We start from the raw sequence: 18,413 nt of genomic DNA, 5'->3' as shown, positions 1-18,413 counted from the left end.
ATACAATTTAGCCCATAACAGAAGACACTGTATATAAGTTTAATAAAGCAGAGTAATTACAGTGACTCAAGAGGGGATTCTTGCTGGTATGCTGGTAAGGCTCTGCACCAGGAATTTATACAACCAGGAGGGAAGGGAAATAGCATGTATCCATTACCCATTATGTGACAGAATTGGTGCTAAACACTTTACATGTGCCATATCATGGGTAAACTGCATAGAAACCACAACCTAACCAGTTAGCCTCATTTCGTAAATGAGAAAACTGAGGTGCGGAAAGGAAAACAGAGTTCTCTATGTAATAAAGCTAGAAAATGGTGGAGCTGTTTTAAGAATTTAGGTTTTGTCATCAACACTTACCTTGGATACCTCTTTTAATTGACCTGGAATTCAACTTCCTTATCAATAAAAAAAAAAAAGTTTTTTCATTCTCTAAGTTTCCATAATTTCCTCTTGCATGTTTTTCTTTGACGTGAAAGTAATATAAAACATAAATACACTTTGGAAATCAGGGAAAAATGGAAAAATGAAATGCAATTTGCTATCTAATAAAAGTACTATAAATATTCTGGTAAGATTCCTTTCTGATCCCACCCCTACTAAATATGGGAAGATGGGGCTTCCTTCTTATCTCATTAGTTTTTGTAGAAATGTAAGGGTCCATAAAGACCCCAACCACGTTAGCAAAATAGAAGCAAAACAAAGAGAACAATGACATTCTAAGAAGTTGATTATCTTAGTATTTAAAAATGTGTTTGTATTATGGATGCTTGTCCATAAGGCAGGAGTGAGATGTGTCTTTGAGATAAACACACACACACACACACACACACACATACGTGCACCAGCTTTTAGAAAAATGGCAAACTAAACAGCACTTCAGTGAGCCAAGAGGAACAAGAAGTTTAACCCTGAATAGCCAAAGAGTGAAGATAATGGGACATTAAGGGAACAGGAAAACAGAGCAGCCCAAGACAGAAAAGACTTCTTGATCTCCATCCAAACGGACTCATAATGGACCTAAAAGTGATTTGAGGTGAAAAGCCAGGAACTGTATTACGTCATTCTCTAGATTTTGTGTGTGCATTTGATCAATCCAGGACTTTCTAGTAATGGACTTCCAAAAATTAAAAATACGTCAAAGTGGTTACATTATGTATCTTGGAATAGATAGTGAAATGTATACAGATTTGTGACTTAACCTCTGCTTCTATCACTTAGTAACTCATAGCATTTTTAATATCATTATAAAGTCTTCATAACTTTAATTTTAATGCTTGCATAATATCAAATTGAATAAGTGTACCAACCACTTTACATGCTTAAGATCCTATTTTTGGACCTTTGAATTGTTTCCATTTTGTATACTAGTGTAGCAATGTCCCAAGTGAGGCTACCTACAACATTTCAGTGAGGAAAATATTGTGTAAAAGTTGTTAGTAGTTTCCTGGTAAAGATATCAGTTACCTTGGAAAGAACCTTGGTTTGGAGAGGGTAAAATGAATGACGCTTCAGTTTACAACATAAAGCAGCATGCATCTATCTAAGACTATTGCAGATTTTTTTTAATATATAAGTGTCTAGGACCTAAAATACAGGTAGTTGATGGAATTAAGCAATGCTCCTCTCCCACAAAGCCAGCTGCCCTAAAGAGTTATATACAGTCAAGGAAATTTCTAAAAGAAGAAGAGCCTTTTCCTTAGGATGCTTAACTCTATCAGAATCTATGTGAAGCCAGATCATGGGAAAGAAACAGGCGCCCCTAAGAGAAAACTCATTTGAAAAAATATGTAAACTTTGGACCAACCTCGAGCTCTAGAATTTTGTAAGAAAGAGCTGTTTATGCAACATTTGGCTGAGGCTGAAGCCCCTCAGTATGCAGCCACTATGGTGTGCCTTGGGAAAAAGAGCCAGGTGCATGCACTGAATGAGCTAGTCACTAACAATTGTAACATTTGGGAGCCCATGTATATTTTGGTATGAAGCAAGCATACAATAATGTCACCTGGGAAGGAAAAGTATCTTCTGGCCCTGCACACAAAGAAACAATTGCCAAGTTGGTAACAGCTGGGTTCCTTGTTTACCATGGTGATTCCAGCAATGGTCAAGGCCATAATTTTGAACTTCCTTTTTTCAGAAGTAATTCCGTATCATGGTGACAACACTAACAGCTACAGAGAACAAGTCTTTTGATGAAGTGAATAGATTTTACAGATCTTTTTCCATGAAGTTATAATAACAACTTTTATGGGCTCAATAAATATGCCTGGACACCTTGTCCTCAACTTGGAAGAGGAACTCTGGGAAGAGAAAGCAGGATAGCAGCTCAGATGCGTTGGATGTGAAGTTAAAAGATTTTATCTTACTTTGTACTCTTAAGCTATTGAAGCAAGGTATAGCAGCTTCACTCTTAAAAATAACAATGCAATAAACATCTTTCAAAAGAACTTGCCCAGTATTTTAAAATTTGCCTTAATGATAAATTCCCAGAAGCAGAAAAGGTAAATCACCGTCATTTCTAGATGCCAATAAAAAATATAAAAAAGATAGTTTACACAAGGTCCAAGGGAAGGAGAACCACTGTGTTAAAGAATGAGATGAGGTGAGCCTTCATAGAAAATAAGGGACTTAAATATAAATAATAGGTCAGGATTTAGAGTGTAGGGATTGGAAATGATGAAAGTGTCTACTTTCACCAGAGCATTCATCTATTTATGCAAGCAATTAGCACTATTATATGCCAACAATTGTTCAAGATACTGAGAGGACAAGGAGTCATACTAATTTCAATTAATTAAAAAGTTGGCAAACAAAGAGAACTTCAATTAGTGATTGTATTCATTGGTCTTTTCTGCTGAAGGAGGTAAAAAAAGCTAATCTTATTTATACATGGAATTTAAAGGGGCTTAGATCAAATCAGGCTTCATTCATTCATTCATTTATTCTTTCTTTCATACTTTTATCATACATTTACTGAACACTGCTATGGGCCAGGCACTTTGCCAAACACTGGTGATAAAGAGAGATATGACAAAGTTCCCATCCTTCTCATTTTCTTTCCTTTTTTTTTTTTTTTTTTGAAACAGAGTATCACTCTGGTGCCCAGGCTGGAGTGCAGTGGTGCAATCTTGGCTCACTGCGACCTCCACCTCCCAGATTCAAGCAATTCTCCTGCCTCAGCCTCCTGAGAAGCTGGGATTACAGGCACCTGCCACCATGCCTGTCTAATTTTTGTATTTTTAGTAGAGATGAGGTTTCACCATGTTGGCTAGGCTGGTCTCGAACTCCTGACCTTAGGAGACCCACCTGCCTAGGCCTCCCAAAGTGCTGGGATTATAGGCGTTAGCCACTGCACCCAGCCCCTTCTCATTTTCATACTCAGGTGGTTAGAGATGTTTAACCTTGTTTAATGTAGTTATCGAAAGCATAAGAAGAACAAAATTCAAAAGATTAAGCAAATTGGGTAGTTTCAGTTGATCAGTCAACTTCTTCCTCTAGAAATTGTGAAAGCAAACACCTTTGCATCTGGGTTTCCTACGAAGCATTTCTCTATCTCCACGTTCAGTCACAGTGGCAGGATTTAGTATGCTGTTTCCTGTCGCCAGGCTATGTTGGCCCCAGAGAAAAGTTGACAATGGTTTGAAAAAGAAGGAATCATCACATCAAGCAGAAGGACCTCTCTGTGTAACATTGCTGACTATTGGACTGATCAGAATGTGCTCCCCAGTATTTTGGAGGTATATGTTAGCCCACACAAACCCAACTAACCTATCATAGGAACACTGAGCAAAATCTCCATTTACTATCCTCCTCTCTGGCAGCCAGAAAGCCAGTCATACTCCATTTATTTGAAAAAAAAAAAAAAAAAAAAAAAAGGCTTTCCTAGAGTCCTCTCCTTGAAGTAAGATTTATCCAGCTTGTTTACTTAAATAATAATGCCTAAGATCAGACACTAAGTTTTCTTTATTTTGATTACCTTCAATATGCCTGGTACACAGCAATGCTCAATTATTGCTCTTTGAACTGATTTATATAGCTAAAAATATCTGTTATTAGTGATTAAATTTTCCCATTACATGCAGATTTTTTTATCACAGCAAGGTAGAAATGTGATTTAAAGTGATTGGTTTCTGAAGGTCACCTGAACTAATTCAGATTTTAATACAAGTTGCTTCACTTTTCAAAGTTTTTTAGCACCTTTTAAATAACCTATGAGTGACAGCAATGAAAATGTCCTAGTCCTAGAATTGGTTGTGACATATCTTTTACTCTAAATTAATAAGCTGCTCATCTAAGACAAATTCATCTATGCATTCCACTTTCTTCCAAATGGAGAGGTTGACCAATACTATAATCCTTACTAAATGTGTTAATTGAGGAATAGAAAGGTCATTAGGCCAAGAATTCACTGAGATAAACATAACTTAGATACAAGATCAAAACAATTGGGGTCTCCTTATGCATAAATTATTGCTTTTCAATAACGAACCCAAATTTTTTCCCTACTGCCCACATCATTCTCAAGGAGTATTTTCTTTTTTTATTTTTTATCTTTAACTTTTATTTTAGCTTCAGGGGTACATGTGCAGGTTTGTTACACAGGTAAGTTGCATGTCTCAGGGGTTTGAGGTAAAGATTATTTCGTCACCCAGGTAATAAACCCAGTAACTGATAAGGCAGTTTTTCCGTCCTCATCCTCCTCCCACCCTCCACCACCAGGTAGGCCTTGATGTCTCTTGTTCCCTTCTTTGCATGCATATGTACTCAATGTTTAGCTCCCACATACAAGTGAGGACATGCAGTAGTTGGTTTTCTTTTTCAATGTTAGTTCACTTAGGATAATGACTTCAAGCTCCATCCACATTCCTGCAAAGAACATGATCTTATTCATTTTTTATGGCTGCATAGTGTTTCACGGTGTATGTGTACCGTATTTTCTTTATCCAGTCTATCAACTATGGGCATTTAAGTTGATCCACGTCTTTGCTATTGTGGATAATGCTGCAGTGAACACATGCATGCATGTGTCTTTAAGGTAGAACATTTTATATTTCTTTGGGTATATACTGAGTCATGGGATAACTGGATCAAATGGTAATTCTGTTTTAAGTTCTTTCAAAAATTGCCAAACTGCTTTCCACAAGGGCTGAACTAACTTATATTCCTACCAGCAGCGTATAAGCATTCCATTTTCTCTGTAACTGCACCAGCATCTGCTATTTTCTGACTTTTCAGTAATAGCCATTTTGACTGGTGTGAGATGATATCTCACTGTGGTTTTGGTTTGCATTTATCTAATGCTTAGTGATGTTGAGCATTATTGCATATGCTTATGGACCATGTGTATGTCTTCTTCTGAAAAGTGTCTGTTCATGTCATTTGCCCAGTTTTTAATTGGGTTGTTTATGTTTTGCTTGTGAATTTGTTTAAATTCCTTATAGATTCTGGATATTAGACGTTTGTTGTATGCATAATTTGCAAATATTTTCTCCCATTTGGTAGACTGTTTACTCTGTTGATAGTTTCTTTCGCTGTGCCGAAGTCCCTTAGTTTAATTAGGTCCCATTTGTCAAGCTTTGTTTTTGTCTTTGACATGAAATTTTTGCCCAGTCCTACAGCTAAGGCAGTGTTAAGAAGGAAGTTTATAACACTAAACCCCCACATCAAAAAGTTAGAAAGATCTCAAATTACCGCTGTAACATCACAACGACAGGAATTAGAGAAACAAGAGCAAACCAACCCCAAAGCTAGCAGAAGACAAGAAGTAACCAAAATCAAAGCTGAAATGAAGGAAATTGAGAAGTGAAAACCATACAAAAGATCAGCAAATCCTGGAGTTTGTTTTCTGAAAAAAATTATTAAGATAGATAGACCACTAGCTATACTAATAAAGAAAACAGAAGATCCAAAATAAACGCAATCAAAAATGACAAACGGGATGTTACCACTGACCCCACAGGAAAAAAAAAAACCCCTCAGAAACTACTATGAACACCACTATGGACACAAGCTAGAAACCTAGAAGAATTGATTAATTCCTGGACACATATAACCTCCCAAGACTGAACCAGGAAGCAATGGAATCCCTGAACTGGCCAATAATGAGTACTGAAATTGAATCAGTAATAAAAAGCCTGCCAAACAAAAAAAAGCCTGGGACCAGATGGATTCAGAACTTAATTTTATCATCTGTATAAAGAAGAGCTAATACCATTCCTACTGAAAGCACTGCAAAAAATTCAGGAGAAACTCCTCCCTAACTCATTCTGTGAGGCCAGCATCATCTTGATTCCAAAACTTGGCAGAGACACAACAACAACAACAACAGCAACAACAACAACAAAAAAAAAAAAGAAAAAGAAAAGTTCAGGGAGTATTTTAAATTTTAGGGATTCACCACACGTATAACGTTAAGAGGACTGCTACTGGGTTCTGGAGAACGGTACTCTGTTACTCCCTAAACACATTTTCACTGCCATAATAGAGTGAAATGAGAAGTAAACCCTCTGGAAGAATTACAATTATTAACAACATTTTTGTTCTACCATTGTTGTAAATTAGTATCACTACTGGAAGCTTTATTGCATGTTAATTTATCTGTATTGCGTTAAATAACAGGCACTCTGAAATGCTGCAGAATAGTGAAACAGCCTTGTATATATGCCTTGGAGGCTCCTGTCACTCTGCTTAGGAAGATTACTGACTCAAATCTTCAAATACATTATTTAGCATGAAAGCAGAACTATAAGTATTAGAGAAAGAATTGTTTATAATCATATTATAAACAGTTCCATGGCTTGCGCTTCCTTTTGTGACAATATCTTTGATTCTAAAAGCACTGATGTTCTCAAAGCTATAACTAGAAGAAAGTGACTTATGAAGATACACTTTTAGATATTCATAGTGAAAGAACAATAGTCATAATAGGAAGGTCTTATTCTGCTGTCCAGTCATCCCCCATCTCACATGCTGTTTCCATGGTTTCAAAGAAGTTTCCAATATTTTGAGAGTACATAATTTCAACTTCAAGACACCATGTGACTAAAACTGTGTAAAAACTTTGAAAAGGTCACTGCTAGGTTCTACTTCAGGGTACCATCCAATCCTTTTCACCCCAGTACACACAGATGTATGAAAAATGTATTTACTTATGCTCCTGATACTTTAGAATAAGTTAGCTGAGGAATTTACAACCCAAAATTGGTAGATCCTCAGGGATCCAAGCCCAGATGATTGCCTCCTTTTAGAATGCATCTAATTTCAATGTGAGGGTAAATTAATTATCTTCCCCCTCCACGTTCCTCCTCCACTTGACACAGGCCAATTTGTACTGGAAGGTGAAAGTGGCAAAGCAGAAGGGGTGATCAATAGCATGTTATACTGGGCTACGGGAAATCTGATCCCCACGGGACTCAGATAGCCAAAGAGGGCAAGAAGTTAATGGGGGCAAGATAGCAAATCTACACTATAATTTAATTTGCAAGTTAAAAAACTGACTGTTTTGCCAAGAAGTCTTTTATTCCATTTTCTTCAATAGCAGAAATCCATGATCATCAGTCTTTCATCCAATTTGAATTAAATACACATAGAGAACAGAGAACTAAAACCCAAGAGGGATTTTATTTTAATTTGACAAATATTTTAGTGGATTTAATAAAATAAATTATTGTTCCAGAAATGTTGTGGCTTTGCATAGGAAGCAAAGTGTCACTCTATTTTTAAATGATCATATAAAATCTATGTCTAGAAATTAAATCAAAATAGACTAAACCAACATTCATTCAAATATTTGGAGTATAACTCCATGTACTGATCACTATTCTTAAGGCCAGGGATATAAAGATACAAGATAAAGGATGTACTGAAGGCCTCAATGAACTTACTGTTGAGAGAGGAAGATGAGTCGAACAGATTATAAACAGTATGCAATGTGTATCTCTAAATCAGGAATACTTATAATATCTACTTCATTGTAAAAATTAAATGAGATAACTCATATAAATTATTTAGCCAAATACCTGGTACATAGTAATTTGAACAAATATCAGCCTCTGATGGTGATCACAACTGTGATGATGATGAGGAGGATGATGATATGGTGATGCCACCAGCCCAAGAATTTATAGGAACACTGAGGACATAGACTGCAGATTGAGAAAGAATTTGTAAAAGAAAAGATTAAGTGGTATAAACATAAGCTAAATTTTTAAAGGTGGATAAGAGAGATAATTCAATAAGATAAGGAGTTGAGGGGAGTAATAGAAATGACCTAGATAGATAAAACAGAAGCTTTGAAGGCATCCCCCTTCCCCTGAGAAGTTCAGAATCCCTTCTGCATCTTGGAGCAGTCCTGTACTAGACACCTAGTACCTGAATTCTCTCTGGAGCTGATACTGGCAGAAGTGCCCAGACACCTTGAGGTACCCTTGTATCTGGATATGAAATCCAATTTACATGTGTCCCCTTTTACATTCTGGTAAGAATCTTTTATATGATGTATTTAATAATATCAAGTGTATCAGTAAACACTTTGTTTGGTCTTTCCTATTTACATGAGAACCATTCATCCTGTTATTTCCGTGTATAAATCTGTCTTTATTTAAGTAAATGTCATGTAATGTCTTCCAATCTTAACTGTAGTATACATTGCTTTATTCTAGTATTTTTGAACATATATACTTCAATATATTCTTAAATAAATGTATATTCATTTATTCAGCCATACTTTACTGTTTACCTATGCCTATAACACACTAGATACAATGCTCCACATATTTGTAAAAGTACAACACACAGCAGAGAAACAAGTTATTTTTTTATATAGTTTGAAAACACTTAATCATCTAGATCTATATTAAATGCTAAAAGAAACTCTTAAATCTGGAAAAAAATATAGGAAAGTCTTATCCAATCAAATAAGCATTTTATAAAACTACTACAAAACAGTGAAAAACATATCCCAGACCACATACTCCAGAACATACTCTATTATGCATAATAATTTCGAAGGGGTTCAGAAAGTAATATGGAAAGTCAAGCTCAACAGATAGTGTTGTAAGTATTGATTTGGAACTTGGAAATATGTGAAATTAATCTTCATCCTATATGAATCCTAAAAACATAAATTCAAGATACATCAGAGTGTGCAGGATATTTTCTTTTCTCCCTCCAAATTTTCTCTATCCTTAGTTACCCAGCTTTGAACCTCAAGAGCTTAACAGCCCTTATTAATGCGGCTACCTTCCCCTTTAGCTTCCAGTTGGGTTTGACCAACAGAAGACTCCAGCAGAAGACCATAGAGTAGAAAGAGAACAGGAGCAAGGATTGATTCCTATGGCTCTCTCTGCCACGTCACCGCAGGTTAGTTAAGCACCTATACTAAAGGGATGGTCCCTGTCAGGTGGCCTGGCCTTCAACTTCCAGTAACTTCTCTCTCTCCTGATTCTCTCAGGTTTGGGGCTGGTAACAGGACCCCATCAGTACCAACTCTGGAGCACTGCACCATCTCTTATTCATTTCTTTTTCCCCTCCCCACACCATTGTCTGTCATCTCCTATAAAACACTCTTCAGTTACACTGTTTGAGGTGCTATTTGCTGCCAGAACCTTCACTTATACAGCAATATATAGGAGCTTGAGACAGACGGTACCCCTAGGTGGAAAAGGTCTATAATTTTATGTAAAACTTACATACAGTGTTATTTTTGCTCTTGAACAGGCCTATAGTTAATGCAATAAGATTAGACATCGAAATTATTTGTTAATTATTTGTAAGCCATACACTTAAAAGTTCCATTAAATTTCATACTTACACCACACACAACATAGTGTACAATCAATGTCTCCAGGGTTTCTAAAGAAAACTTTGATATTCATCATTTTTTATTTACATGATGAGAAACATGTGATGTCAGTGGAGAACTGATTCATCTATGGGTCAGATATGGAAAAAAATTCAAAATTCTCCAAGTCAAGTTCTTCCTTTCCATGTGACCTCACATGTCCTTAAGTTATTTATACTTAAGAATGTCTTCATGACTACATGGAATCAGTAATGACTTCTCTCTCTTTACATAACAGATCAAAGTCATATGGGAGCAAGAGTTTATCTGGATACACTCAACTCTTTCAGGCAAATGGAAAAATATTTGTGAAACTTCCATTTGTGAAGGTCCAGAGGTCCTAAGATACTTTACATTTTCAGAAAATTAAAGCAGCTGAGAAGCAGAGAAGGAGGGATACATCTAGAAAGACAGACAGTGGCTAAATCATGCAGGGCTTTAGAGATCATGTTAGAGATTTTCTATTGTATTCTAAGAGTCACAGAAAGACTTTAAAGGAACAAGACACGCCTCAATTTTAAAAGCTAATTCTGCTACCAGATACCAGGAAAAATTACAAAGCCGTAGTGGTTAAAATATCATGGCATTGTTGCAGGAATAAATGCGTAGCTCAATAAAACAAAACAGAATCTAGAATCACTCCTAAAATTATGAAAATATAGAATATGCTAAAAGTAGAATTTCAAATTACAGAGTATATGGCAAGCTATTAAATAAAGTGTGTTACGACAATTGACCTGACAGTTGGAAAAAGTTAAGTCACAATCTTACTCTGTGTATTGATTATGTAAATGCTATGAAAGATAAACCCTAAAATCTCAGTGGCTTAAAGCTATTGAAAGAAGTTTCTCTCTTGCTCACATAGAGTCAAAAATGGATATTCCTGATTGGTGTATGACTCTTCTCTAAGTGGTAATTCTGGGATCTAAACTCTTTCAAATTTGACTCTATCATCTTCAACACCTGGCCTCCAAGACCATTTGGGAAGAGGATAGACACAGAGGATCTCTCTTGAAAGATTTTTATGAGCCAAGACTAGAAGTGGTATACATTACTTCTATTCTCATTCCATGGTACAGTTTAGTCATAGGGCCTCACCCAACTGCACAGAAGACTGGGAAATAAAATCTAACTATGTACATACAAAGAAAATGAGATCGATGTGGTGATTACCTAGATCTCAGCCATACCCTATGTTATATACAAATTAAAATTAAATTCCATGTGAATTCAAACCTAAAGTAAAAAAAAAACCTATGAAAATACAAAAAAAAATTTAAGAATATTTTTATAATCTTGATCTGAAAAAGTCCTTCTTAGGCAAGAGACATAAAAGAAATAATACAGAAAAAATTAAGGAAAAAAATGACAGATTTGACTAGATCAAAATTAAAAATTTCTCTACCACAAAAAAAAATATAGAAAATAAACATTTCTTAAAGGACATATTTGCAAAACATACAGCAGAAAAAAATTATAATAGCCAAACTGAATAAAGATGTTCTAAAAATCATTTTTAAAATAATTTAGTGTAAAAATCAACAAGAAAAATTAAGGAAATTCACTGGGCCAAAATACATGTGAAAAGATGTTCAAATTCAAATTCACCATTTTAGGAGAAACAACAAAAAGATTTAAATACTATTTATCATTTTTTCCCATCGAAAACGCAAAGATATCCATGATTAATGATGAAATAAACCCGACCAAATTTTGATGGAAGTGTAAGCTGGTACAGAGTTTTCGGAAGGGAAATTCAGGAATACATATCAATATTTAAATTGTTCTAGCAATTCCACTTCCAGGATCCATTCTACAGAAATACAAATGTGCACAAAGATTTTGTTTAGATAAATGTGAGAGTGTGATGGAGAGAGTGAGTGAAGATAGAGAAGGAAAAAAGAGGGAAAGGAAAGAAAAATAGAGGAATAAATTAGGAGATAATTATGGATATAGAAGTTCATTGCAGAATTATTTGTAATATAGAAAAAGAGTTGTCTTATTTCATTCAGGCTGCTATAACAAAATACCATAAATGGCATAGCTTATAAGCAGCATAAATTTACTTCTCACAGTACGGAAAGGTAATTCCAGGATCAAGGCACCCGCAGATTCACTATCTGGTGAGGGCCCCCTTCCTGGTTCATAGAGAGCCTTCTTTTCACAGTGTCCTCACATGGCAGAAAGGGTAAATGACTCCCTTGGTCCTCTTTTTTTTTTATTTTATTATTATTATACTTTAAGTTTTAGGGTACATGTGCACAATGTGCAGGTTAGTTACATATGTATACATGTGCCATGTTGGTGTGCTGCACCCATTAACTCGTCATTTAGCATTAGGTATCTCTCCTAATGCTATCCCTCCCCCCTCCCCCAACCCCACAACAGGCCCCGGTGTGTGATGTTCCCCTTCCTGTGTCCATGTGTTCTCATTGTTCAATTCCCATCTATGAGTGAGAACATGCAGTGTTTGGTTTTTTGTCCGTGCGATAGTTTGCTGAGAATGATGGTTTCCAGCTTCATCCATGTCCCTACAAAGGACATGAACTCATCATTCTTTATGGCTGCATAGTATTCCATGGTGTATATGTGCCACATTTTCTTAATCCAGTCTATCATTGTTGGACATTCAGGTTGGTTCCAAGTCTTTGCTAGAGTAAATAGTGCCACAATAAACATACGTGTGCATGTGTCTTTATAGCAGCATGATTTATAATCCTTTGGGTATATACCCAGTAATAGGATGGCTGGGTCAAATGGTATTTCTAGTTCTAGATCCCTGAGGAATCGCCACACTGACTTCCACAACGGTTGAACTAGTTTACAGTCACACCAACAGTGTAAAAGTGTTCCTATTTCTCCACATCCTCTCCAGCACCTGTTGTTTCCTGACTTTTTAATGATCGCCATTCTAACCGGTGTGAGATGGTATCTCATTGTGGTTTTGATTTGCATTTCTCTGATGGCCAGTGATGATGAGCATTTTTTCATATTCTTTTGGTTCCATAAATGTCTTCTTTTCAGAAGTGTCTGTTCATATCCTTTGCCAACTTTTTGATAAGGGCACCAATCCCATTCAGCAGGGCTCCAGTTTCATGACCTGATCTCCTCCCAAAGGTCCCACCTCCTAATACTATCACCCTGGGGGTTAAGATTTCAACATAAAAATTACAGACGGGGTGATTTTCAGTCCATAGCAATTGTAAACACCTTATATATGGCTATGGTTAAATAAATTATGGTATATTTATACCATGTTGATAGGTAGTTCTTAAAATGTATAGAGTAGACTGAAATGCACTAACAGGAAATGGTCGATAAGGCATATTGAGTGATGCAAGTTACATAACAATGAAACTAATTACATACACACATGCATGCACACACACAGATATGTAAATGAGTAAACTCATAGGAAAAGCTCTCAGAGAATCGACACTAAACATGTGGAGAGAGGCATGAATAGAGGCTGGGGATAGGGAGGGCAACAACATAAAGTAGATATTTCCTCTTTACATTACATATGTCTGTATTGTTTCAGTTTGCTAAAGTGTGTGGATTTCTTTTAGAACTAAAATTAAAATTTACTCTAACTAAAAAAATTATAATATGAATTGTTGCCTCTAAATTTTTGCTCCAGCCTTTTTCCATCTTCTGTGGTAGGTAAATTCCTATTTATCTTTCAGGGCTCAAATCATTTATCACAATATTTCTTGATATTTAAGTCATAGCTGCTCCAAAATTCAAATGTGAATATTAAGCTTCCTTAAATATGGGACACCTGGACACCTGGAAACCTCCCACCCATTCTACAAATACCCGGTATTAGCATCTCATCTCTGCTTCTATACTACTATGACATCACAGCACCTAACATTGTATTGCAGTCATTCCTTAGACCCATCAATGAACTTATTTTCTAGTCCTCTTAATAAAGAGAAATTTTCCTGCAGAAATGCAACTAAGAATAAAATGCAACTAAGAGAAGTCATCTCTGGCTTTCACCCTCTTTACCCAATAAGTGCCCCGGGAATGTGAGCCATTTCCATAATCCATAGGCACCTTGTGACATGTAAGGTTATTTTTAAATTTGTTTTCTCCTGTAAGAAAAGATTTTCATCCTAAAATTAGATTATGAATCTACTTCTAAAACCACTAATCAAACATAAGTTAAAGCTACTTAAATAAGGGAGAGAAAATGTTAGAGCTCTAAAACCGTTAGAAATAGGTCACCCAGAGCTTCAATAAAACTTCAGAAAAGGTTTCAGAAAAAAAAAGATATTCTCATTAAGGAGCTGTAAAGTAATCTTGCTATCAAACAGGGGAAAAGATCACATGTGCAAAAGCAGCAAAATATAGTCCATAAAGTCATTTAATGAAGCAGAAATTTGTATCTATGCCATATCTAATGCATTTCTTGAAAAAGCTCAGCATATTCACTAATTATGAGCCATATATTATACACAGTTATTATGGGTATTATTCAGCAACAGAAGATTTAAAGTTGGTTGTCTTCTCTACCATAGTTAGCAGAGAAATATTGGTACATATATGATCTGCTTAAATAGGTTAGAAAATAGGAGGGAATTTATTAACTAGCCTTTTAATTATGCAAACAGAGTTTCCATAATTTTAAACTGAATTCCATGACACCCACAGATTTCCCTATAATCTAGCTGTAAATAGTAATTACAGTGTTCATAGTAGAAAATACTATATTTTAGGTTGCAAAACAGACTCTATTATTATCTCCTATATTAAGTCATTTGATGACAGTCTAAAACTTTCCTGGTGGGGAGATTTTTATATTCGTTGGTAGTCATATCTGTCTTCACTTTCATAAAAACTGTAAGAAAAATTTGTCAGCCATTTTCAAATCAAAGGACAACGGAGAAGGAAATTTGCTGCTGAACTTTAAAACATTATATTTATCAGGTCCTCCGTGGGTTGCATAATCAGTTGAAGACTATGGATTAACAATCAAAGGGAGCTCAGACACTGACCTACATTACAGAAACCCTACACATACAACCAAAAATTCATCCTCCCCAATGAACTAAAAGCCTTCAGGGTAACCTGCTAGCTAAGCAGCACATGTCCCAGTATTACAGTGCAACATGACCAGGAAAAAAAATCATCCTGAAAGGCACCACAGTAAGGGTGAGAAAAACAGTAAGAGTCCTACATAACCCAGCATTAGTTTTCAGACCTAGGCAATAGGGCTTCAAGGCAATAATCACTGAACTACGGATTATGCAAAATTTAAATCTACACCTACTTTGGGAGCCACACTTGATGGGGCATTACATTCATCCTCAGGATGCTGAACACCCAAGTTGCCAAAATTAATTGAGCCTCATCAGAAGTAGGATAATTTCACTATCTTGAGCTTCACACCTGAATATTTCACAATCACTTCTACTTTGCCTGGGTGCAAAACTTCACTTCCCATATTGCCACCAAAATCTACTCTGCCTCCTGTGTTTCCTGTCTCAATGAACAGACCCTTCCTTCATCGAGCCAATTGATTGCACAAGACAGAAAACTAAGCATGGTCCTTGATAGTTCTCTCCCCTCACCTTGCACATCCAATCACCAAGTTCCTTTTCAGATTTCCTTTCATTCATCTTTCTTCATTCCTACTGCCCCCACCATAGTTCAGACCACGTAAACTACTTCACTGGATCTAAAGGTGGATGTAGAATAAAACTCATGAGTCTTAAGACCCCTTCTAGAGCTTCACATCTAATTTTGCATTCAAAATTTTGTATTTTTTTAAAAGGCCCCAAAATATGTAACCTATGAAACGTACACGATCTGTAACCTTTGCTGTCTAAATTGTTGCAACAGCCCCTATCTCCCAGCTTCCAATCTTGCCTGATTTTTATCTCTGTCTGTACTACAGACAAAGTGCTCCATCTAAAACATAAATATGACCATGTCCTCCTCTTGCTTAAAAACTTCTAATAGCTCCGTATTTCTCCTAGGATTTAGTCTCAACTCTTTATTATTGTTTACTTTTCATGTAGTCAACACACACTTTATGATCTACACACAACTTGAAGCCGCCGTTACAAAATTGTAACTGAAGCAGTGAAAGAGATCTGACCTAACCAATTCCATCTTGCCTCTAACCTCCAAGCTGTCCTGGGCGTAGGCTGAACTAACTTTGGGAGGAACTTAGTTTATAGTTTATAGTATAAAACAAAAATGATAATAGCCCTTTCCTAAAACAAACCTCCTTTTTGCCTGGGGATTAGACTGCCTTTGCAGGACTAACAAATTCTCCACAAGATTAGAAACTATGGTGCAGGAGTCATACAGCTGGAGGCTACAAGATTCTGACCCTCCCTAAACTGCTCCTAAGATAAGTGTGTGAAACATTTTGCAGACCCTGCACTTGAGAGATCAGCTGGTGCCACCCAGATCCATAAACTGGCTCATCTGCTCTTAGGAACTGACTCAGCACATAAAGACAGCTTCCACTCCCTATGACTTCATCTCTGACCTGAACCAATCAGCACTCCTGGCACTCCAGCACTCACTGGGACTTCCTGCCCACCAAGTTGTCCTTAAAAACTGATCCGTCTGGGCCAGGCGGCTCATACCTGTAATCCTAGCACTTTGGGAGGCAGAGGCGGGCGGATTGCCTGAGCTCAGGAGTTCGAGATCAGCCTGGGCAACACGGTGAAACCCCGTCTCTACTAAAATACAAAAAATTAGTCAGGCGTGGCAGCGTGCGCCTGTAGTACCAGCTACTCGGGAGGATGAGGCAAGAGAATTGCTTGAACCCGGGAGGCAGAGGTTGCAGTGAGCCGAGATTGCATCACTGCACTCCAGCCTGTGCGACGGCAAGACTCCGTCTCCCAAAAAAATAAAATAAAATAAAATAAACTCTGATCCCCAAATGTTCGGGATACTGACTTGAGTAATAATAAAACTCTGGTCTCCTGCACAGCCAGCTCTGCGTGAATTACTCTTTCTCTATTGTATTTCCCCTTTCTTGATAACTTGTCTCTGTCTAGGCAGCAGGTAAGGTGAACCCATTTGGGCAGTTACAAATTTAGCCAGCTACTCTACAGACCCTACATCACATTCTTTGGACACACAAATTTGTGTCCCCTGCCTTCCCCCATACTTCCCATTCTCTTAGCTCAAGAGACTGGAAGCCATGTGCTGTTTCCTATTAAATCGGCAGCCATACCACCACCATGTTGTCACTGAGTAGGCATTTCACAAATATTTATTGAAGGAATAAGTGAATGAATAATGAATGCACTCTGCATCACTGGTCCAAATCCAGGAATAGTGATCAGCAGCCCACAAGGGATCGATCTAGCAAGAAAAGGCACTGATTGATTCCTGGGAGTAAATTGCAGTTGATTTCCCATATTTATGAGTAATTATACTGGAAAGAATTTTAATAAATCATATCTCAGAGAGAACAGTCATTAAGTCCCACTCTAAGTTTCTCTCTTCCTTAGAAATATGCATGTCTTCCCAATATCCTATTGCTTTGAATATAATACCTGACATGCCAGATGTTTCTAAGCTGACATTGCCCTATCTATCAGACAAAGAGTATCTAATTCAGGGCCTAAATATAGGCGATTGCTTCTCTTTCTCCAACATACTATTTTTGGATAAGTATTTTTCTACTCATCCTGTTTCACCATGTAATCTGGCAAACTTCAAAGTTTTTTTTCTGTTCCTGTTAATTCTGGTGGTTAATTTTATGTGTCAATTTGACTGTGACATGGGGTGCCCAGAATAACCATTACTTCTGGGTGTGTCTGTAAGGGTGTTTGTAGATGAGATTAGCATTTGAATTGGTGGACTCAGTAAAGCACCCTGCACCCAATCATCCAATCTACTGAGGGCGAAACAGAATAAAAATGTGGAGAAGGGTGAATTCAGTCTCTGCCTGACTGAGTCTTCTCCTGCCCTCAACTGAGACTTATACTACAAGCACTCTGGTTCTCAGAACTACATCCCCAGCTCTCCTGGATCTTCCTCTTGCTGACACCCAATTGTGGGACTTCTCAGCCTCCCTAATTACATAAGCCAGTTCCTTAAGATAAATCATTTATCACACACACACACACACACACACACACATACACACATCCCCTATTGATTCTGTTTCTCTGCAAACTCCTAACTAATATACCTACCTCCTTCATATATATTCTTATCAGGTACCTAGGACAATATGTTTTTTTCCAAATTACCCCGACAATTACTTTCTATGTATCAATACTTACTTAGATTTTATTTCATGCTGAAATAAGCCTTCCAATAATTACAAAACAATACAAACTTTTTATATTCATTTATTTAAGAAATAGTCATTGAATACTTACTTTATGTACTGAACAGTATACTACAGGGTATATAAGATAATTTATATTGTACATTTATATTATCCTATATGTCTTTTTAATCTAGGGACATAATAAAATAATTTTATATCACTCAATAAATGATGTAGATCTTTTATATGGTCCTTGCATATTTCCTTATTAAATGTTCTAAATATACATAGATGAAAGATAGACTTTCAGATAGATAC

The 18,413-nt window shown here is 36.6% G+C and overlaps 1 long non-coding RNA gene across 3 annotated transcripts in view; it reads right to left on the bottom strand.

The window, feature by feature from the left end:
- LOC124902327 (uncharacterized) overlaps positions 1–18,413 on the bottom strand; it is a 100,784-nt gene that overhangs the window by 12,291 nt on the left and 70,080 nt on the right. Inside the window, exon 1 of one of the 3 annotated variants that reach the window (XR_007061896.1) lies at positions 8,019–8,282. The exons of the other annotated variants lie outside the window; for them this stretch is intronic. This is a non-coding gene — a long non-coding RNA (uncharacterized LOC124902327). Of the gene's footprint in view, positions 1–8,018; positions 8,283–18,413 lie in introns of those variants that run through there. 3 annotated transcript variants of the gene reach the window in all.

The sequence above is a fragment of the Homo sapiens genome, chromosome 9, assembly GCF_000001405.40.
Source record: "Homo sapiens chromosome 9, GRCh38.p14 Primary Assembly".
Taxonomy (NCBI): domain Eukaryota; kingdom Metazoa; phylum Chordata; class Mammalia; order Primates; family Hominidae; genus Homo; species Homo sapiens.
Note: the sequence above shows the minus strand (reverse complement) of the source record. Positions and strands in the feature narration are given on the sequence as shown.